At 43.1% G+C, this 23,704-nt stretch overlaps 1 protein-coding gene across 2 annotated transcripts in view; it reads left to right on the top strand.

Moving 5' to 3' along the window:
* Positions 1–23,704, top strand: part of RAB3B (RAB3B, member RAS oncogene family) — an 82,745-nt gene that overhangs the window by 41,190 nt on the left and 17,851 nt on the right. For both annotated transcript variants that reach the window (NM_002867.4, XM_017001958.2), the window contains exons 3-4: positions 12,099–12,217; positions 16,069–16,193. In NM_002867.4, coding sequence (NP_002858.2) covers positions 12,099–12,217; positions 16,069–16,193 — 244 coding nt within the window. The remainder of the gene's footprint in view (positions 1–12,098; positions 12,218–16,068; positions 16,194–23,704) is intronic.

Raw genomic sequence — 23,704 nt, 5'->3', positions numbered from 1 at the left:
ATCCCCTCCCTCCAGGGGCCGAAGGTGCGGTTGCAGTGGCCACGGGATTTGTGCTGGAAGCTTGCCCTCAGTTGCAGCCCTGAGGGCCAGAGTTGATGGGGTGTCTCCTTCTGTGAGCCTGGCAAAGTGACTGAGAAAAATCCTGTGCCGGTGTAATGGCAAACATTTAAAGGGCAGGGGAGGAATTAGTGGGGAAAGAAAGTTAGGGAAAACTTCAGAGGATGTGACCTTTGAATATGTTTGTGAATTATAGAACGCAAGGGCATTCCAGGCAAAGATCAGCATATGCAAAGGCCCAGGGGTGCGAAGGAGCTGCGTGTTTGGGAAACCACAAGTAGTTAAGGCAAAAACTGGAGCTCACTGTTTCAGTTAAGGAATGACAGGAAAGGAACTAGCAGGGAAGCCTGAGCTAGATCCTGAAGGGTCTTTATCTACTGAGAAGCTTGGACTCCATCTTGTAGGCTTTGGGAGGCCAGCAGACGGAGATGGGAAGGTTTGGATTTTTCCAAAGGACCATCTGACATTCTGTGTGCTCTATCCAAATTGTTACAGACACCCCCATACATTTATCCTTTCAACAAATATTTATTGGAACACTCTGGCCCTGTGTTCCAGGTGCTGTGGCATGCACTGGAGATGCAATAGTAAGCAAAACCAGACATCCTGTTCTTGTGGCACTGGTAGTTTGGCAAGGGAGACAGACCTTAATCAAATAATTACACAAATAAATACAAAATTACAGTGGGAGTGAGTGGTACAAAGGAGAAGCTCATGGTGCCAGGAAAGCATATAATTGGAGCATGTGACTTTTCCAGGATGGTCAGCTTCTTTGCTGAGCTGAGCTCTGAAGAGAGAGCATTACCTCAGGGAAGGGCACTAGGAAGGCTCTCTGGGAATGGGCCTCTTCCGCTTCAGAACCCCCACCCAATACATGTTTACCTCCTATGGTAACAGACACTGTAGACTTTAAGCAAGTACCGGCTTGTATTCATCTGTTTGTCTTCAGGACCTAACCAATGCTTGGCACAGAATCAGTACCAAGTGAAGATTTGAAAGAAAGGAAAAGAGAAGTGCCTTTAGGCACTTTAAATAGTTGAAGATAGCAGTACTATCCCCTCAATGGCTAAACATCTTCCTTCACCTGGTTTCAAGTTCCCTTCACTCTTCTCTGGCTGTTCTGCTAATAGTCAAGGCCCCTGTGACAAGAGATTTAAATCAGTGAAGTAGCCTTGTGAAAGAGGATGGTCTGTTGGGAGACAGAAGACCTGGTTTTATTTAAGCCCGTTTTCATGATTTCCTGTCATTCACCTCTTCAAGCCTAAGTTGCCGTTTTTATAGAACAGAGATATTGGTCCTTCTCTCACAGGGTTTCTCAGGGAATAAACTGAGATAATAAGAAAAAAACATTGTAAACTGTAAGAGTTAAGGAAGTGTAAGGATTTGAATATTTGGAGGGCTGCCACATGAGTAAAGAATTAGATTTATTCTTTGTGTCTCCAGAGAACAGTATTAAATCAGTGGGTAGAAATTACTGTATGTAGATTTCAGCTCAACGAAAGGAAGAAATGTTCTAATAATCAGAACTGTCCATCAGTGGAATGGCTGCTTTGTGAGGGGGTGGGTGTCCAAGTTGGAAGCACTCAATACAAGGATGTTGTGGAAGGAATTCCTATTTTAAGTGAGAGGATGGATTGAATGACTTCTAAGGTTTCCTTTTAACCCTAAAATCCAAAAATCTGATGGTCAAGACAAGCAGAGAAGCTGGGAGAGGGTGTATTGTGGCAGAGAGTAGCATGAACAGAGATATAGAGCAGAAATGAATGTGGCATGTGTGACGACCGTGTGGAAAACTTTACGAAGAAATGAAGAGTGTGTGTTGGATCACATGTGATTTCATTTAAGCTTTCTAGGTGATTTCCAATCTTATGCTCTGGTGGAGGGGAGATTGTTGGTCCCTGGAAGCCTTAGACATGGTTAGAGGACTTCCTGTATTGGGAGGCTGCAGAGGATCTTGGGGGCTAAAGAGAATCAAGAATACAAATCAGGTTGGACTTTAGGCTGTGTTGAAAATGCACAGGCTTTGGTCAAGACAGAATTTGAATTTTTTTTTTTTTTTGAGGCAAGGTCCCACTCTGTCACCCAGGCTGATGTGCAGTGTGCAATCTCAGCTCACTGCAACCTCCACCTCCTGGCCTCAAGTGATCCTCCCACATTAGCCTCCCAACTAGCTGGGACTACAGGAGCATGCCACCATGCCCAGCTAATTTTTGTATTTTTTGAAGAGACAAGGTTTCACCATATTGCCCAGGCTGGTCTTGAATTCCTGAGCTCAAATGATCCGTCTGCCTCGGCCTCCCAAAGTGCTGGGATTACTGGCATGAGCCACCGTGCCTGGCCAGAATTTGGATTCTGTCTGCCTCCTTATTGTTTGTGACCCTAGCAATTTACTTAACTTCCATGAGCCTCAGTTAATTCATATATCAACTGGGGACTCAAACTTGTCCTCCTTCAAGCTGATATAACAATTAAGAGAAATGACGTAAACGGCATCCTGGAAACAGCACAAGCTTTGGAATCAGACAGACCAGGTTTGAATCTCAGTCTGAAATGAACTGACTGCAAGATCTTAGGCAAGTTATTTAAAACTTTACCTCATCTGTAAATAGAGATAGTAGTATTTCAGAAGGGTTTTTTGAAAATAAAATAAAATAAGAAAGGTGCCTACTAACATGTGCCTGGCATGTAGTAATGCTCAACTAACAGTGTTATTTTGTTACCACAAATAATGTAATGGGTCTCATATATAAAGCACTTACCAAAGTGCTCAGAACATAGTGGGTGTTCAGTAAACATTAGTCCCCTTCTGTCTTGCCCACATGTCTGTCTGCCACACTGAGCAGGCTATGGGAGACTAGAGCAGTGGTGCTCACTCTCGTGTCTGTTCTCTGGCATAATCCTCTGCCCATATGAAGAGCTCAATGAATGTCTGTTGTGTAGAAGTGAACTGATTTCTCTTGATGACATGGTCTCCTTCCTCAAGTAGCCAGTGAGTCACTCCTCTTTCTTTCTCCTCCTTCCCATCTCCTCTGTGATTCTATTTCTGACTCTCATCAGTAGGAGGAGAATCAATGTTCCTCAGTGTGATTTTTAAAAATAAAAGGGAGAGATTCAGGAGTGATTCTCTGGGCTGCTTTCCATAGAGCACAGGATAGTGAGAGCTGGAGTGTTGTGTTTCCAACCTCGCTTTTCTTTAAGTGAAATAAAAATGTCAACAATATCAACAGTAATAGCAGCACTTACTATGAGCTTTATTGAGCACCTACCATGTGGCCAGTGCTCTGCTAGGCTCTACCCCTACATTATCTGTCATTCTCACACAGTCACTTCAAAGTATAATATTATTATCACCACCTCACAGTTGAGGAAACTAAGGCTCAATTACTTAAAAAAATTAATTTAAAAGTTAAATAATAAATACTTCTATATTTGGATACCTATTATAAGCCAGACACTTAAAAAATATCATATTATGAAAACCCTACCAAGTAGGCATTTTTATTTCCATTCCAGATGTGAGGAAACTGAACCTCAGAGAGATAAAATAACCAACTAGTCCAAAATCACATTGCTGATGAATGGCAGAGCTGGGAGTTAGGCCAAGGCCTGCTCAACTCTTAAGTTCACCCATTCTCTTTCTAACAGGTCATGTTGCTACTCTTTAAGGGAAACATTATATTGACACTCTGGCTGGAGGCAGCCCTGGGTAGGTTTGAATGGAATGGGAAATGACACATATAGCATGAGACCCATCCACTCTAGCAGGGCAGACCCTGGGAAGCTGGCCCTGCTCCTGGAACTGCCTTTGGAAGTGCAAAAACAATAGCTGATGCCTATGTGGTATTTACTACACAGCAGGAACTGTTCTAAGCATTTCGCATATAATAACATTATTAATCCTCACAAAACTCTGAGGTAGGTACAGGCATACCTCGGATATGTTGCAGGTTCAGTTCCAGATCACCATAATAAAGTAAATATTGCAATAAAGCAAGTAACATGAATTTTTTGGTTTCCCAGTGCATATAAAAGCCACGTTTATACTGTAGTAGTCTATTAAATGTGTAGTAATATTATGCCTAAAACAATTTACATACATTAATTAAAAAATACTTTAGGCCAGATATGGTGGCTCAGGCCTGTAATCCTAGCACTTTGGGAGGCTGAGGTGGGAGGATCACTGGAGCCCAGGAGGTTGAGGCTGCAGTAAGCTATGATCTCGCCACTGCACTCCAGCCTGGGCAACAGAGTGAGACCCTGTTTCAAACAAACCAACAAAATACTTTATTGCTAAAAAATGCTAACAATCATCTGAGCCTTCAGTGAGTGTTAATCTTTTTGCCAGTGGAGGGTCTTGCCTTGATGTTCATGGGTGCTGACTGATCAGGTTGGTGGTTGCTGAAGACTGGGGTGGCTGTGGCAATTTCTGAAAATAGGGCAACAGTGAAGTTTGCTGCATCGATTGATTCTTCTTTTCATGAAAGATTTCTCTGTTGCATGGTGATGCTGTTTGATAGCATTTTACCCATAGTAGAACTTCTTTAAAAATTTGAGTCAGTCCTCTCAAACCTTGCTACTGCTTTATCCAACTATGTTTATGTCATATTCTAAATCCTTTGTTGTCATTTCAAGGATGTTCACAGCATCTTCACCAGAGTAGACTCCATCTCAAGAAACCATTTTCTTCGCTCATCTGTAAGAAGCAACTGCATCCGTTCAAGTTTTATCATGAGATTGCCACAATTCAGTCACATCTTCAGGTCTCACTTCTAATCCTAGTTCTCCTGCTATTTCCACAAGATCTTAGATCTGCAGTTACTTCATCCACTGACGTCTTGAACCCCATAAAGTCATCCATAATTCCAAAGTTTGGAATCAATTTATTTCAAACTGCTATTAATGTTCATATTTTTATCTCCTCCCATGAATCACGAATATTCTTAATGGTAGAATGGTGAATTCCTTCCAGAAAGTTTTCAATTTACTTTGCCCAGGTCCAAATAAGCCTTGAAAGTCAAAATTACTCCTTGATCCATGGGCTGCAGAATGGATGTTGTGTTAGCAGGCATGAAGACATTAATCTCCTTGTATATCTCCATCAGATATCTTGGGTGACCAGGCACATTGTCAATAAGCAGGAATATTATGAAAGGAATATTTTTTCCTGAGAGTGGGTTTCAACAATGGGCTTAAATTATTCAGTAAACCATATTGTAAACAGATGTGTTGTCATCCAGGCTTAGTTGTTCGATTTCTAGAGCACAGGCAGGGTAGATTTAGCATAGTTTTGAGGGGCCCTTGGATTTTCAGAATGGTCAGTTAGCATTGACTTCAAATTAAAGTCACCAGCTGCATTAACCCCTAACGAGAAAGTCAGCCTGTTCTTTAAGCTTTGAAGTCAGGCATTGACTTCTCTCTAGCTATGAAAGTCCTAGATGGCATATTCTTCCAGTGCTGTTTTGTCTACATTGAAAATCACTTATTTAATGTAGCCACCCTAATCAATGATCTTAGCAGGTCTTCTGGATAACCTTGCTGCAGCTTCTACATCAGCATTTGCTGCTTCACCTTGCACTTTTAGGTTATGAAAATAGCTTATTTCCTTAAACTTCATGAACCAACCTCCGCTAGCTTCAGACTTTTCTTCTGCAGTTCCTTCACCTCTCTCAGCCTTCATAGAATTGAAGAGAGTTAAGGCCTTGCTCTGAATTAGGCTTTGGCTTAAGGAAAGATTGTGGCTAGTTTGATCTTCTATCCAGAAACCACTAAAACTTTCTACATATTGCCAATAAGGTTGTTTTGCTTTCTTATCACTTATGTGTTCGCAAGAGTAGCACTCTTAATTTCCTTCAATAAATTTACATTTGCATTTACAATTTGGCTAACGTTTGGTACAAGAGGCCTAGCTTTCGGCCCATCTCAGTTCTTGGCATGCCTTCCTCACTAAGCTTAATTATTTCTAGCTTTTGATTTAAAGCAAGAGATGTGTAACTCATCCTTTCACTTGAACACTTAGAGGCCATTGTGGTGTTGTTGTTGTTGTTGTTGTTGTTGTTGTTATTATTATTTTGAGATGGAGTCTTGCTCTGTCACCCAGGCTGGAGTGCAGTGGTGTGATCTTGACTCACTGCAGCCTCCGCCTCCTGGGTTCAAGTGATTCTCCTGCCTCAGCCTCCTGAGTAACTGGGATTATAGGCATCTGCCACCATGCCTGGCTAATTTTTGTATTTTTAGTAGAGACAGGATTTCGCCATGTTGACCAGGCTGGTCTCAACCTCCTGACCTCAAGTGGTCCACCTGCCTCGGCCTCCCAAAGTGCTATGATTACAGGCATGAGCCACCACGCTGGGCCCATTGTAGGGTTATTAATTGGCCTAATTTTAATACTGTTGTGTCTCAAGGCATAGGGAGTCCTGAAGAGAGGGAGAGATGGGGGAATGGCTGGTTGGTGGAGCATTCAGAACACACACAACATTAAGTTCACTGCCTTAATATGGGTGTGGTTCATGGCACCCCAAAGCAATTACAATAGTAACATCAAAGATCACTGATCACAGATAAACATGACAGATATAATAATAATGAAAAGACTTGAAATATTGTGAGAAATACCAAAATGTGACACAGAGACATGAAGTGAGCACATACTGTTGGAAAAATAGCTCTGATAGACCTGCTTGAGATAGGGTCACCACAAACATTCAATCTGTAAAAAATGCAATATCTGCAAAGTGTAATAAGTTGAAGTGCAATAAAATGAAGTATTATTATTATTCCCGCTTCATAGATAAAGAAACTAAGGCTCCAATAGGTAAGTTGCCCAAAGAGAGGATTACACAAAAGCATGAATATCAGGAGACATTTTAGAAGCCATTTTAGAGGCTGTGTACTATAGTCACATAGTGAGTAAGTGGTAGAATAGGGATTCACACCCAGAAGCCTAACTCCAAAGATCACAGTCTTAACCTCAAGACTATATGGCCTTTTTGTTTAACAAACAGTGGTTAAATTGCTACTGTGTGCACAGCCCTGTGCTACGTACTGGTAGTACTGAGATAAAACTGACTCCATGTCCAAACTCATTTATGGGGTATATACCAGAATTTCTAATTAGTTGGGATTCAGTTGGGTGACAAGACTCTTGGAGAGCTTGGGCACAGGGCTAGGCTCCAGGCAGAGATGGAAGACTCGACACTCTCACAGAATAACAGGGCATAGTTTAGGGAGACTGAGGAGAGCTCAGGCCTGATGGCAGTGCAGGCGCTCAGAAATCCTGCCTGGGCTTCTAGACCAGGAAGAGTGGCTTAATTCCAAATCCTGCAGGACAGGATTTAGGGACTGAAGCTACAGATCAGTGGGAGGTCTATTCTTTGGAGTTGGCTCTGAGGAGCTCAGGAAGCAGAGGCAAGGGCATAGGAGGAGTGGATCAAATACTGCGTCAATGTTTCTTAGTCACAAACACACAGAGCTTTGATGTGGATATGGCAGATTTCTCTCAATAATGTCTAAGATTTCCAGTGTTAAATGTTCAGAACCTCATTTATTCATTCACTCATTTATCCATTCATCTATTCATTTATCCTCCCACTCACTCATGAGCTGGAGAAAATATCTTCCAGAACTCATAGGGAGAACTGCTGTATGTGGTCAGAAGGAATACTTTGATAAGCTGATTGAGGTGGAGAGTAAGATGCTTAAAGACATTGCTCAATGAAAAGAAGATGGTGATTCATATGCTCTCCAAGGAGGGTGAGTATGTTAGATGCAGGTTTTGTTTTATGGAGTAAGGTTATGCAAGTCTGGGCCAGAGCTGAATTGCTGAGGACATGGAGAAGCCAAGCCCTGACAGAAACAACTGCTATCTTTGTTTTTCTTCTCTTCACATCTAATCTATCACCATTCCCTATAATTTTACCTCTTAAATACCTCAATGAATCTGTTCTTACTCTATGCCTGTTGTTACCACTCTAGCTCAGATTCTTATTTAGTCTGACCTGTACTACTGCAAAGATCTTCTAACCAGCCTTCCTGCCTCCTATCTCTTCTCCTTCCAGTCCATTCTCTACACCATTGTTAGAGTGATCTTTCTAAATCTCAGATCTAATTACGTTAATCCCTTGGCTCAAAATCTTTGATCTTAAAAAATCAAGTCCATACCCCATAGCATAGTATTCAGAGCTCTTTCTAGCTTCATCACCTACCTATGTCCCATCCCCTACCGTTCCTGAAGTTCTTCAGGAGTACTCACTGTCAAAAACTCTCCCTTCTGCCAAAATACCACTCCTTTACTTTTCTGCTTGGAAAAGGAAAATTCTTCTTTAGAAAAGTTCTCCTTATATTGCCAAATAAGCACACTTTCATGTGATGCTCCTGGGCTCGGTGCAGATTCCACCCATGGGAATCATTATGCCTTCTACCATATAGTCCCAGTTTTCCTCCTCAGCATATGATAGTATTGCACTTTCTTACCCCTTGAAAGTTGGGTGTGGGTTTGTGACTTGCTTTGGCCAGTGAAATGGGAAAAGTGGAAGTTTTAAGAGCCAATACATGACTCACATACTTTTTTCCCCTCTGGTAGTTGCTCTGTCAGTCTTTATCCTGGAATAAAGATGACAAAAAGCAGAGCACCCAGCCAGTCCTTAATGGATATGTAATAATAATAAAAAATAAAACCTTGTTGTTTAAGCTACTGACATTTGGGATTGCTTGTTCCTGAAGAACCCAGCCTATCCTAAAGGATATATTATCTCCACTTTGACATCTTCCATAACTACCCCAAACCACCATGTTTCTACTTTACCTGAACTTGTGTGACTCTTTTTTTTTTTCCTTTTGAGACAGTCTCACTCTTTCACCCAGGCTGGAATGCGATGATGCCATCTCAGCTCCCTGCGACCCTGCCTCCTGGGTTCAAGTGATTCTCGTGCCTCAGCCTCCCAAGTAGCTGGGATTACAGGTGTACACCACTACACCTGGCTAACTTTTGTATTTTTAATACAGACAGGATTTCACCATATTGGCCAGGCTGGCCTCAAACTCCTGACTTCAAATGATCTACCTACCTTGGCCTCCCAGAGTGCTGGGATTACAGGCATGAGCCACCATGCCCAGCCAACTCATTTTTTTTTATACCACTTATCTGGTGCTGATGACATATTACCTCATATTGCTAATTATCAATTTGCTGTTATATCTTAGCCACCTTCACAACTCTATTGAGGTTTCCTGAGGGCAGGGGTGGTGGTTGTTCTATGTTATTATCACACTAAGTATAGTTCATGGCTAAGGCAATATGTTGTAATGGGTGCAGGAGAGAGACAGATTAGTTCTGAATGAATCTTAGTTTCCTCACCTGTAAGATGAGAGTAACAACATATATTCTCCAGGGTTTTCTAGTATTTGTGGATAACAGGTGCAACCTGTATAAAAATAGTGGCATACTGAAATTATTTTTCTCCTTATTTATTTTTATTATAACTATAGATGGTGTTCAGTAGATGCTTGTGAATAAATCAATCTTTCATTGATGGAGTTGTGGTGGTACCTGCATTAGACATGGAATCAGAAGTCCTGGATTTGGCTGGGCTTTACAGGCTCATGCCTTTAATCCCAGCACTTTGGGAGGCTGAGGCAGGAGGATCACTTGAGTTCAGGTGTTCCAGACCAGCCATGGCTACATAGTAAGACCTTGTCTCTACAAAAGTAAAAAAAATTAGCCAGGCATGGTGGCACATGCCTGTGGTCCCAGTTACTTGAGAGGCTGAGGTGGGAGGATCACTTGAGCCTGGGAATTTGAGGCTGCAGTGAGCTGTGATCATGCACTCAGGACTGGATGACAGCGTGACATCCTGTCTCAAAACAAAAAAAGCTGGGTACACTGGCGAGCGCCTGTAGTCCTAGCTATTCTGCAGGCTGAGGTGGGAGGATCACTTGAGCCTAGGAGTTCAAGGCTGCAGTGAGCTATGATGATTGTGCCACTGCTCTCTAGCTTGAGTGACAGAGTGAGACCCTGTCTCTTAAAAAAAAAAAGTCCCAGATTTAAGGCCTACCTTTTTGTCACCAGCTTTATGACCTTGACCTTGGGAAAGTCACTTGCCCTTTCTGCAATTTTTGCATTCTCAACTATAAAGTGTAAATAATAATGACACCTACCTCACTGGAATCTCATAGAATTTAAATGAGGTAATATATGAGGACATGTTTTATATATGCTTAAGCATCACACATTCTGAGACTGTAATGATATAGAGAAGATTGGCTGGTCCCTCACACGAGGACTGTGTGGAAAATTTGGAAGCATCCCAATGTGCCCTGATAACCCTTTGCTGTTGGTCTTGTCTTTGTTGCTTGCTTACGTGTTTGTCTTTCCAACTAGACTATGAGCTACTTGTGATTAAGAATTGTCTTAAAGTCATTTTTTGAAAAAATGTTTATTTCTCCTTACATAAGAGTAATATGTGCTCATTGTAGAGATAATAAAAATACATGAAGAAGTCTGGGCACAGTGGTTCACACCTGTAATCCTAGCACTTTGGGAGGCTAAGGTGGGTGGATTGCTTGAGCTCTGGAGTTTGAGACCAGCCTGGGCAACATGGTAAAACGTCATCTGTACTAAAAATACAAAAATTAGCCGGGTGTGGTGGTGTGCTACTCAGGAGGCTGAGGTGGGAGGATCACTTGAGCCCAGGGGGTGGAGATTGCAGTGAGCCAAGATTGCTCCACTGCACTCCAGCCTGGGCCACACAGTGAGACCCTGTCTCAAAAAAAAAAAAAAAATTACATGAAGAAAATCAAAATCTCAGTAATTCTTGTCTCTTATTCAGAGAAAATCTCTATTAACCTTTTGATGTGTTTCTTCTATTTTTTTCTGTGCACATATAGTTATAAAACTAATACATCACACATACAAGTATTGTCTCATATCGTTAAATATTCTTACATACATGAACTTACATAAAAATTCTTACATTTTAACCATTCTCCTATTGTTGAATATATAAGTTGATGATATGTTTTCACTGTCTAGATAAAGTTTTAACAAATGTGTTTTTGTACATACATATTTGTCTGATTTTCTATTTTTATAGGGAAAATTTTTCTAATTTTGTGGGAAAAATTCCCAGAAGGAATATTTCTGGGTCAAAGAGTATGAACATTTTTAATGCTCTTAAGACTTCCAAATTGATTCCCAGAAAGGCTAAACCAAGTTCCACTCCCACAAGCAAGATGTGAATTTGTATATTTCACTGCATGCTTATCAATCATGGGAATTATTATTAAAAATAAGGGGCTGGGCACAGTGGCACAAAACCTTAATCCCAGCTACTCGGAGACTGAGGTGGGAGCATTGCTTCAGCCCAGAAATTCAAACTTGCAGTGAGCTATGATTGTGCCAGGGCTCTCAGCCTGGGCAACAGAGTAAGGCTTTGTCTTAAAAAAAAAAAAAAAAAAAAAAAAGAAACAAAAATAAGGTTAAAACTTTTTATGTAATAATTACCCACTCAACATTTCTTATGTGCTTGTTCATGCCTCTTGTCCACTTTTCCTTTAGGATTTTAATTATTCTTATTAAATTCTATGAGATTTAAAAAATCATTTTAATCTAGTCAGCAAGCACAATACAAGACACATAATAGATGCTCCTTAAATATGCCTTGGGTTGGGCGCGGTGGCTCACTCCTGTAATCCCAGCACTTTGGGAGGCCGAGGCGGGTGGATCACCTGAGGTCAGGAGTTCGAGACCTGCCTGACCAACATGGAGAAACCCTGTCTCTACTAAAAATACAAAATTAGCTGGGCATGGTGGTGCATGCTTGTAATCCCAGCCACTCGGGAAGCTGAGGCAGGAGAATCACTTGAACCTAGGAGGCAGAGGTTGCAGTGAGCTGAGATCGCGCCATGGCACTCCAGCCTGGGCAACAAGAGCAAAACTCCATCTCAAAAAAAAAAAATGTCTTGGGTTATTAGTTAATTGTCCTGGGGACTTTTTAGGAACCAAAGCAGACTTTCTAAGAGATTGTTTCTTTTCTTTTCCTGCCCAGGACACAGCTGGGCAGGAGCGGTACCGGACCATCACAACAGCCTATTACCGTGGGGCCATGGGCTTCATTCTGATGTATGACATCACCAATGAAGAGTCCTTCAATGCTGTCCAAGACTGGTATGAGACCCATATTCATTCATTCATTTAACAAACTGTTCATTAAAACCTAACATGTGCTAGGTCCTGTATTGTGTGCTGGGGAAGCCCAGATGAATCAGACATGGTTACTGGCCTCAGGAGTTTACAGACGAGAGCAGAAGACAGATCCATAAGCAGGAATGAAAATATCATGTGATAGGCCGGGTGCAGTGGCTCACGCCTGTAATCCCAGCACTTTGGGAGGCCGAGGCAGCCAGATCACCCGAGGTCAGGAGTTTGAGACCAGCCTAGCCAACATGGTGAAACCCCGTCTCTACTAAAAATACAAAAATTAGCCAGGCGTGGTGGCACGTGCCTATAATCCCAGCTACTCAGGAGGCTAAGGCAGGAGAATTGCTTGAACCTGGGAGGCGGAGGTTGCAGTGAGCTGAGATCACACCACTGCACTCCAGCCTGGGCAACAGAGTGAGACTCTATCTTAAAAAAAAAAAAAGAAAGAAAAGAAAAGAAAATGTGTGCTAGGTGCAGTGATGAAGCGAGGCATCAGGGCTGTGGGAACCCAGCAGAGGGCTCTCTGACCCAGTTTAGGGAGTCAGAGAAAGTGCCCTGGAGTTGCTGACACATATGCTGCATTTTGTAAGATGAACAGGAGTTAGCCCGAGGGACAAATGAATAAGGATGTTCCAGAAAATGAGTACAGATGTGCAAAGGTGAGAAGGTAGGTGCGAGTGTTGAAGGGCATAGGTCATGAAGGGTTTTGTGTGCTGCTATAAGGAGTTTGGATTCTGTCCCATAGGTGATGACGTATGAATTAGAAACCAACAGGTTCACATTTGTGTTTCAGGAAGATTACTGTAGCTCCAGTGGAGAGTGAATCCACATAGCACTTAAAGTTTATCCCTGGGCTGAGCCAGGTGTCCAGGAGCACATACAGTCCAAGTTCATCAAGGCTCAATATGCAATGGAAATCAGTACAGCACCCCAGAGTTGCAACCTCTGAGCAACTTATAGCTTTCTTCCTGGGGCACGATTCCCAGGAGAAGGGAGCCTGAGGGGAAGGACACATGAGAGGGAGGGCCAGGACCCAGTGTCCCTGCTCAGATGAGGATGGGGGAAGGTGGGACATCTGTGTGGTGGCTGTCCTTCAGAATCGGAGAGGCTGAGCAGACCAGGCACACAGCAGCAGTGCTGGCCAGTGCTGGGCTTGTCTCCTTCTCCCTTTTGCCTAATGGTGACCTTCGAGGACTTCGCTTCTCCCAGGGAGCAGTTGTCATAATTGTGTTGGCTTCACATACACAGCTTGAGCTGAGAGTGACCTTGTGGGCTGCCTGCTGCACTCCCCTGTTCTGACCAGCAGTTCAGGGTGTCATCAGCATGTCTGTCATTCCTGGGGGTCTGTGTTCTCCTTTTCTGCCTCCTGGTTATCCTCTTCTTCCTCCTTTCTGTCCCTTCCTTTTAAATAACTCTTTCTTCCCTCTACCTTGGGTCTTTCTCCTCTCCTTCCTCTGTTCTCTTCCCCTTCCCTTTACTCTCTCCACTCATCATTTTCCTCCCTTCCTCCCCTCTCCCTGCTCCTCCTCTTCTCTCTCATCACATCTCCCCTGAAGTGTCTCCACGCTGCCCATTTCCCTGTTGGCCTTGACCCCCTTCCCTTCCTCCCTCAGTCTCTGTTCATTCTGCCTCAGGAACACGGTGACTTTAACACCTGGTGACGATTCCTCCAAGAATAACCTGAGTTTGTTGCTAACCTGGGAGCTGAGAGGAAATGGGGTGGGAGAAGGGAGGAAGATGAAAGAAAGAGTAGCATGGGAGATAAGGAGAGCTGGCCCCAGTTACCTGCCTTGAGTCTGAAGACTGAGGGTCTATCTCTCCCAAGCCCTGGCCTTTGAGTTTTGTCTGTGGGTAACTTGGTCTCAGTCTCACCCCTACCTGCCATCCAAGCCCCAGTGCCCAGAATGGGGCCTGGTTTCCTGTGGGCCCACAAGAAGTGGTGGTTGAGTGAATTCCATCCTTTGAGGGAATGGCTTCTCACCATAAATGAGAAGGTTGGTGGTAAGATCAACTTTAAGAGCAGGGTCAGTAGTAGGTTCAGGTTGCAGTTAGGGTTGAGTTAGGTTGTCAGTGTCAGGGTAGAGTCAGATTCAAGATCTGCTTCAGGACTGACCATTCACTGGCTCGTTCATTTATCAGCATTCACTGACACCTTCTTCGCTGTGTGTTCTGTGCTGGGTATTGGCATCCCAAAGATGAATAGGCCGGTCCTTGCCCTCAGGGAGAGAGACAAATTCAGCCAAGTGTAATAGGTGTCATGGTGAACGTGCAGGAGACCAAAAGAGGAAGTAATCATTTCTACCTGATGGGGTCTTTGGGGAATGTTAGGCCCATCTCCACAAAAAGATGTCTTCATAATATAAGAGAGTCCTTTTTTATTTCCTCTTAAAATTTTGTTTTTAATTAAAGAAGTAATACATGCTCACTTTTAAAAATGTGAAAAGTACAGAAATTTGAAAAGGTTTTTTTTTTTTTTTTTTTTTTTGAGATGGAGTCTCGCTCTGTCACCCAGGCTGGAGTGTAGTGATGCGATCTTGGCTCACTGCAAGCTCCACCTCCCGGGTTCACGCCATTCTCCTGCCTCAGCTTCCTGAGTAGCTGGGACTACAGACGCCTGCCACCATGCCCAGCTAATTTTTTTTTTTTAATTTTTAGTGGAGACGGGGTTTCACCATGTTAGCTAGGATGGTCTCGATCTCCTGACCTCGTGGTCCGCCCACCTCGGCCTCACAAAGTGCTGGGATTACAGGCGTGGGCCAGCGCACCCGGCCAAAAAGTATTTTTTAAAAGTCTTATAATCATCTTATATGAAGGTAACCACTGCTGACATTTTGGTTCCTGCAAATAATCATAATCCGAGGCTTCAGGGAAGGTTTATGAATCACATAGGAGGAGGTGGAGGCTAAGTGGATCTAGGAGAAGCTTGAAGAGGCTCCCCTCAAGGTGTTGTGGGATCAGCACTGGGCCCTGGAGGATGAGTTAGTTGTGGGGAAGGACTTCCCAGTGTAGGCAAAAGCACAAGCCATGGAAGAGCTTTTGGGGAATGAGTAAAAAGGTTAGGGAGGCAGGAGAATGGGTAATGAGGCTGGAGAGACACAGCATGAGTGATCTTGAACTGAGGAATCTGGACTTGATCACATAGCTAGCTGGGGGCCAGAGAAGGCTTTTAAGAAAAGATTCATTGTGATCAAATACCTGTTTTAGAAAGACCTCTCTGCCCAGTGAGGAGAGGGATGGCCAGATATGGTAGAGGTGGACTTCAAAAAGATGGATGAGGTTTGCAGCTAGGGCTTAGGAGTCAGCATCTGTGACAGCCAGCAGGGACAGGTATCTGTCTGTCCTCAGCTGAATTAATTGGCAATAACTTGGATGTTGCTAGTCCTGTGGAAGAGAAACCATTTCTTCACACTTCACAGTTTTCTTTTTGTCATAGGAGGGTATGTGTCTTGGTCAGTTTGGGCTGCTATAACAAGAATACTATAGACTTGGTAGCTTAAATAACGGACATTTCTTTCTCACAGTTCTGGAGCTAGGAAGTCCAAGATCAAGGTGCCAGCAGCTCCAGTATCTGGAGACAGCCAGCTTCTTGTTGTATCCTCCCATGGCCAAGAGAGAAAGAGGGCTCTAGCCTCTTTCTCTTCTTATATGGACACATTTATTAGGACTCTAGCCTCATTGACATAATTACATCCCGAAGACTCCACCTCCAAATACCATTACATTGGGGATTAGGCTTCAACATGTAAATTTGGAGGTGGGGACACAGACATTCAGTCTATAGGAATATGATTAACATATCTCTTTCTATCTCATTTTAGGGCTACTCAGATCAAGACCTACTCCTGGGACAATGCACAAGTTATTCTGGTGGGGAACAAGTGTGACATGGAGGAAGAGAGGGTTGTTCCCACTGAGAAGGGCCAGCTCCTTGCAGAGCAGCTTGGTATGTACATGACACATGTATGTGCATGTGTGCATTTGTACACATGCTCATGAGAGTGGGGTAAACAGGGTACGAGTGTGTTTGTATTTATGACATTAGTGTTGTGATTGTGAATTATGTACCTATGTGATCTGTGTGTATTGTTTTATATTTGTATGAGGTACATATGGGCTTTGTGCTGTGAGTTTTAGATAATTCATCATTTTTGATATGTATATATTTTGTTATATTGAATGTGTAAATAAATTTTAAATTTATAAACTCTTTTTTTTTACCAGTTCCTTCCACAAAGGACTTGAGATATCTTATAAAAATGGTCACAATACAACAATAAAAATAAATAAGTAAGTGAGAAAATTGGAGCAAAGGGAAAGCAAGGGTGAGGGAAAAATAAGAGGAAGCTAGGGTAAGTATTAAGTTCTTGGACACCTGCAAGAGTTGGGGCCAAAATGTTGTCTTTGAGCTTCCTAGCAACCTTTGCCAAGAGGGAAACATAATCAGCTACATGGTTTAGAGTGTCCTAGTATAAAAACAAACCCATTATTCCAGAGAAGCACTACTCTTCATCATCAACTGTAGAGCAGACTCTGTATGCTGAATGTGACCATGTCTTGAATATCAAACATCCTTCCAGCACTGAGTATTTATATGCTGTTCTTACAGTTTATCTCAATGCAAATTCATGCTTCTCACCAAAACACAATTCACAACAAAAGTAATAGTATGAAGGAACAAAACTATGTGGTTTGAGTATGTAGCTCATCGGTGTCCTGACTTTTTCCAAGCTTAACATATTTTGATCCTTGTGCTCCTTTGAGGCCTAGGTGCCCAGGCATGTCTCAGTGGCCCCAAAGCAGAACTCTACCTACCTTTGCTTAAAAGAAGAGCTTTTATTTTATGTATTGGGGTCCAGGGTAAGGTTGCCTTACAAAAAGAGTTCCATGCCTGTAGGTTTGAAAGTTTGAAATCTTCCTCTAGAATAGATGTACTGCTTAGCTTTTAGACAGTCTCCCTAAGTATATCTCACATCCTTAGTGTTGTAAGTATTGAGGAGTGGAGAGTTTAAAGTCTCTGACAGTTTCTGAAGAACAGATATTTGGGCTTATAGGTGGGTAATCTGTATAAAATACAAGTGTGAATTGTGTGTTTTATATATTTGTATTATGAGTATGTGGGTGTGTGTGTGTTGTATACTTTTTTCTCCCCAAGGTGTCCTGTAAACTGTAGCAAACTATAAGTGCTTAATAAACAGGGAGGTTGGGTCATCTTGGGCCTTGCTGTCTCTACACTATCACAGAGGTTCTCAGAGTCCAGAAAGTGCCTCCATGTGGTCCATTGACCAATAAGCAAGTGATGAAGCCCACACCTGGTGAACTTTAGACGGTCCCTTTAGGCTTTCAACCTGTAGTCTCCCTGGAGGCTCCCAGCACTCTCCCTGGACTGACTATATTTCATCTGCTTGGAATGCTCTCTTCTACTCCCCATCTTCTACCCTCATCCAGCTGGTGAGACCCCACTCAGCTTTCAAAACAGCTTACACTTCACATCTTCTATGAAACCTTTCCCAGCCCCCTGCCAGAGCTCTTTATTTGTTCTCTCAATGCACCCCATACGTAAAAGAGTCACAGTACCCATCACAGTTGGATGCACTCATTTACTTGTCTGTCTCCCGAAAGTTCCCTGCAGACAGGAAATGAATCTTGTTTGTCTTTGTGCCTACTGTGCCTAGCATATGGCCGGGCACGGAGGATGCAAAAATATGTTTTGGTTAATTTTATGATGTTAAGTATTTGGGTACTTCATTTTATTGTCCAGTGAAGACTTCCTGAGTGCCTACTCTGTTCTAGGCCCTGAGCTGTGAAATAGGCTACATTTCCTGGTCTGAATAAGCTCGATCCAGTGAGAAAGCCTACAGTAACAGTCATAGTCCAATTGGTCAGGGCTGTGACAGAGGGATGTTGGGGGAGCATAGAGGAGGAACGTCATTCTCCTGGGATCAGAGAACATGATGCCCAAGTGGAGTCTTGAAGATAAGTAGGACCAGTCCAGTGAAGAAGAAAGTTAAGGGCATTCCAGGCAGGGGCATAACCCTGGCAGAGGCAAGGAGCTGCCTTGTGGGTCAGGGAACCATAAATCACTGGATGGTGTGAGTCTGGAGTAGTGTTGCCCAAAGAGGGGACTCACGCCACTGGAATTGTGCAGGATGATTTTCTGTATTTATTTTCTAATACATATTTGGATATGTATTAGAAAAAAATATACCAGCATGCCAAGCCCTTCTCACTAAGATTTTTTTTTTTGAGATGGAGTTTCACTCTTGTCACCCAGGCTGGAGTGCAGTGGGGCGATCTCGGCTTACTGCAACCTCTGCCTCCCGGGTTCAAGTGATTCTCCTGCCTCAGCTTCCTGAGTAGCTGGGATTATAGGCACCCACCACCATGCCTGGCTAATTTTTTGTATTTTCAGTAGAGACGGGGTTTCATCATGTTGGCCAGGCTGGTCTCGAACTCCTGACCTCAGGTGATCTGCCCACCTCAGCCTCCCAAAGTGCTGGGATTATAGGCATGAGCCACCTTGTATGGCCATTCTAAGATTTTTTAAAGGTGAATTGGTTAAACATTTATTAGGTGCTTACCATGTGTCAGGCACTATTTATTCTAAGTGTTTCAAAGTATTATGCATCTAATTTAATCCCTCTAAAACCCTCCAAGATATGTTCTTTCCTTATCTCCACATTTTGTGTGTGTGTGTTTTTTTTAACAGATGAGAAAAGTGAGGCACAGAGAAGTTGAGTAACTTGCCAAAGTCACACAGCTAGTAAGAGGGTAGAACCAGTATTTCAACTCAGGTGGTAGTCTGGCTCCCAGAGCCTGTGCTCCTAACCACTTAACTTTACTACACAGCAAATGTGGTAATCATAGCTGATATATATTGAACAAGGCACTATGTGAAATGTTTAGCATTAATTATCTCATTTAAGTCTCTTTATAAACCTTCAAGCTAGGTACTATAGAGCATGTCCAATACTCTCAAAAATGAGGTTCAGAGAGGTTAAATAACTTGCTCAAGCTATACCATTAGCAAGTGGTGGACTCAGTATAAACCTATCAAATTTATTTAGGAACACAGATAGAACACCTGAGATTAAATCTTAGTGCCATGTTTTTAGGAAGGCACTTGAAGAAGACCTTAATGAATTGGTTAGATTTGGGCAGGTCAAAGTAACCCATCTCTGCCTAACTCGACTCCCTGAGCTTTCTGCTATTGATCACCAGAACTTGCCTATTTACATGTTTATCTCTCCTCCTAGGCTTCTACTGCATGGATTGTGTCTGATTTGTTTCATTATCCTAAGGACCCAGCATAGGGTAGATATTCATTAATACATTTTACTTATTCAGTGAAAAACATTTATTGAGCACGCTGAGCCAAGTTCTGCCCTGGCACTTAGGATATAATGAATGATGAACAAACAGCTGCAATCCTTACTGTCATGGAACTAATGGGGAAAGAGACATTAAATAAATACTTACACAAATATTAATTAAAAATTGTGCAAATAAATGGGTGAATTGTATGGTATGTGAATTATGGCTCAATACAGCTGTTAAAATTGTGATAAGTTCTACTTGAGTTAGGACTCTTGTTATTGCAAGTGATAAAATTGCAAATCAAACTAGCTTTAATAAAAAAAATAGAATTGGCTGGGCGCAGTGGCTCACACTTGTAATCCCAGCACTTTGGGAGGCTGAGGTGGGTGGATCACTTGAGGTCAGCCTGGTTTGATACCAACCTGGTCAACATGGTGAAACCCCATCTCTACTAAAAATACAAAAATTAGCCGAGCATGTAGTCCCAGCTACTCGGGAGGCTGAAGCAGGAGAATCCTTTGAATCCAAGAGGCAGAGGTTACAGTGAGCTGAGATTGCCCCACTGCACTCCAGCCTGGGTGACAGAGCAAGACTCCATCTCAAAAAGAAAAAAAAAGGGAGAGAATGTATTAGCTCCTGTAACTGGGAAGTCCACAAGACCCAGGGCTCAATTGCACTCTCCATTTCTCAGCTTTACTTATCCCCTCAGCCTCTTTCTATAGCCAGACTCTCTGCGTGGGGAGTTAGAGGGATGATGGCAGATTCATGGCTTCCCAATTCCTGCAAAAAGAGACCTTCTCTCTCCCAACCACTATGAATCAATCCCAGAGAATACTATGATTGGTCACCTGTGAGTCATGTGCCCATCCCAGTGGCTGGGGGAGGCAAGTATGGCAACATAGTCCCAATATAACTGTTTAAAATGGTGGTTTCCTAAAGGAGGGAATGAAGGGGGCAGATAGAAGTTAACATAAGTCCACCACAAGTGCTATGAAGAAGTGCAAGAGAGAAACCTAATTTTAGGCTGGAGAGTTAAGGTTTTCTGAGAAAGTAACACTTAAGGTGAGAACAAAAGGATGAGAAAAGGCTAGCCAGGCAAAGAGTAGAGTGTAGGGAGGGGCATATTCCACATCCAGAATAGTCCCAATGTGGGTTAAAGCATGAAATATTCATGAAATTGAAAGAAGGCCATGGCACAGGGACTAAATAATCAAGGGAGAGTAGCATGAGATGAGGATGGACAGATGGGGAGAGATCAGATGATGCAGGATCTTGTAGACCACGTTAAGAATTTTGCAAGGATATGATCAGATCTGGGAACAGTGAAGGGGGATGTTCAGCCTTCCTCACCCTCACCCAGTGACTACCCCTCTGCTGTCTCAGGTATTAAGTCAGTTTCAGTGGTATCTTTGCCAGTGCAGTAATGCCATTCTCTGCTTTATGGGATCCCTCCTCAGGATTCCCTTTCTTGTAGCTTTTCTCAGCTCTCTCAGTCAAGACTATTGATATGGCCAACAATTCGTGTTTATTAAAGCTGTGAGGCTGGGCTTGGTGGCTCACGCCTGTAATCCCAGCACTCTGGGAGGCCGAGGCAGGTGGATCACCTGAGGTCGGGAGTTCGAGACCAGCCTGACCAACATGGAGAAACCTCATCTCTACTAAAAATACAAAAATTAGCCAGGCGTGGTGGTGCATGCCTGTAATCCCAGCTACTCGAGAGGCTGAGGCAGGAGAATCGCCTGAACCGGGGAGGCGGAGGTTGCGGTGAGCAGAGATCGCACCATTGCACTCCAGCCTGGGCAACAAGAGCAAAACTCCATCTAAAAAAAGAAAAAAAAAAGCTGTGTGTTGTGATTGGCCTTCCATATCCTCAAAGTTCCTGGGACTTGGTTGAGATCATATAGATGCTGAGGCAGGTGGGTGTTTGGAACAGTAGAGGAGTTTTAGGGACTTTTATTTCAAGAAGCATGACCTTTTAGGGTTCTGCCTCCATGTGCTCCTCGGAAAGGGGCTTCTTGTCCCTTTCCTGGATCTGACTGGAGATCTGACCAGAACCCAGGGAGGCTAGTAAAAGGGAAATATGCTTCTGCCTACAAAGGAAGGAGAGACCATCCACAATGTAGTTTTTTGTTTTATTTTGTTTTGAGGCAAGATCTTGCTCTGTCATCCAGGCTGGAGTGCAGTGACACAATCTTGGCTCACTGCAACCTTCACCTACGGGACTCAAGCAATCTTCCTGCCTCAGTCTCCTGATCCCAAATAGCTGGGATTACAGGCATGCACCACCATGCCCAGCTAACTTTTATGTTTCTTGTTTGTTTGCTTGCTTTTTTGGTAGAGACGGGGTTTCACTGTGTGGCCCAGGCTGGTCTCAAACTGCTGGGCTCAAGTGATCTGCCAGCTTTGATCTCCCAAAGTGCTGGGATTACAGGCTTGAGCCACCATGCCCAGCCCAAAATGTAGTTTTGAAACACACACATACCAGCATAGTGTAGTGGGAAAAGCACGCCCAGACTAGGAATTAGGAGATTCAGAGTTTTATCCTGCTTCTGCTACTACTTTACTATGTGACTTTGAGCATTGCATTTGCTGTCTCTGGGTCTCTGTATTTACCTATCTGTAAAACATGCAGTTTGGATTAGTTGAGTAGGAAGATCTGTTTGGCCCTATCCCACTTTGATTCTGTGATTTCAGTTTACCCAATTCCGCATTCATGACTCAGACCCCACAGACTCTCATACACTGCCTTGCTTATTTTAGGTGCTCAATAAATCTGTGTGTGTGTGTGTGTTTTCTAGATTGAGATGAACCAAGGAACCTTGTGTCATTGAGTCTGGTTGCAGAGAAAGAAAGGCCTAGTTGGCATTGATAATAACTAACAGTGACTTAAAATTCACAATATGCTTTCACGAAAATCCTCTTGTGACCTTTGTTGTCACTTCTAGCACAGAAGGCTGCATTATCATCAGCTATTGTAATACAGTATCTGTATTGCTGTATAGTACATAGTATATTATCACCAGTACAGTAAACCAGTGATTTTCTTGATGAAGAAGCTGAGTCCAGACCACTTGCATTTTCTTGCACACAATGAGCTGTGCCACACTTCTGTGCCTTTATTTTCCCACTCTAAGATTATGTAACTTTTCTAAGCCATGTAAGTAGTAGATGGCAGGCCCCGTACTCAAACTCAGACTTTGACTTAAAATCCTAATGTTCTCATATCATCCAATGGTGTTTTCCCAAAAGCCTGTCATAGTTTCTCTTCACATTTCCACCCTCAGCCACAATATTGGTGAGATTTCTTTAGATTATGCTGTGGTAACACACAGCCTGAGTCAGGAGAATAAGGGTTTCTTTCTCACTCATTACATACCAGCTACAAGTCAGCTGCAACTCTGTTCCATGCATTTTCTTACTCTGGGGTCCGTTTGGAATGGCTAAACCACACAAAGCCTCTTAAAGCTTCCTTGGGACTTGGATCACATCACTTCTGCCCACATCCATTGGCCAAAGCAAGTCACATAATCAAACTCGATGTCAATGGAGTGGGGAGACGTATTCTTCCCACAAGGAGGCACTGCAAGCTAGTGGTAATGTGGAGGTATAAAATCTCTTGCAGGCAGGGCAGTTCACAGTCACTGAACACATCATGGACTCTGGGGACACAGAGGTGAATGGGTTCCCTTCCCTCAAGATGCACACTGACTAGGGAAACAAAATTGCAAACAGATAATTATAACCTTCTTTGGGTCGATGGCTATGCCAGTCCTCATCCTACTTGCTATTATTTTTCACCCTCTCCTGTTGTTTTTCCTGCAACCCCTTCTGAGGGTTTGACCTTTGCAGGCTATGTTTCCCAGCCTCCTGTGATGGTAGCTTCTGGCTGGGACTAGCCAAAGGAAGATATTGGCAGGTGACTGGAGATGCAGCAAAGGGAGAAATCCAGGTATTTTCCCCCTGCCTCAGCTGGCCCCCCAGCAGGGGCTGCTCCTCTACTGTGACTCCTGCTCTCATGGTTCCAGCATCTTTTAGCTCTAATACTAGTATTTTTTGCTTTTGATAATCTCTGGGTTTCCTCAATATTCTGTTTAGCTTCTTAGTTCTTCCATCACCTATATAAGCAATTCCTTCTGGTTT

Source organism: Homo sapiens, chromosome 1 (assembly GCF_000001405.40).
Source record: "Homo sapiens chromosome 1, GRCh38.p14 Primary Assembly".
NCBI classification, from domain to species: Eukaryota; Metazoa; Chordata; class Mammalia; order Primates; family Hominidae; genus Homo; species Homo sapiens.
Note: the sequence above shows the minus strand (reverse complement) of the source record. Positions and strands in the feature narration are given on the sequence as shown.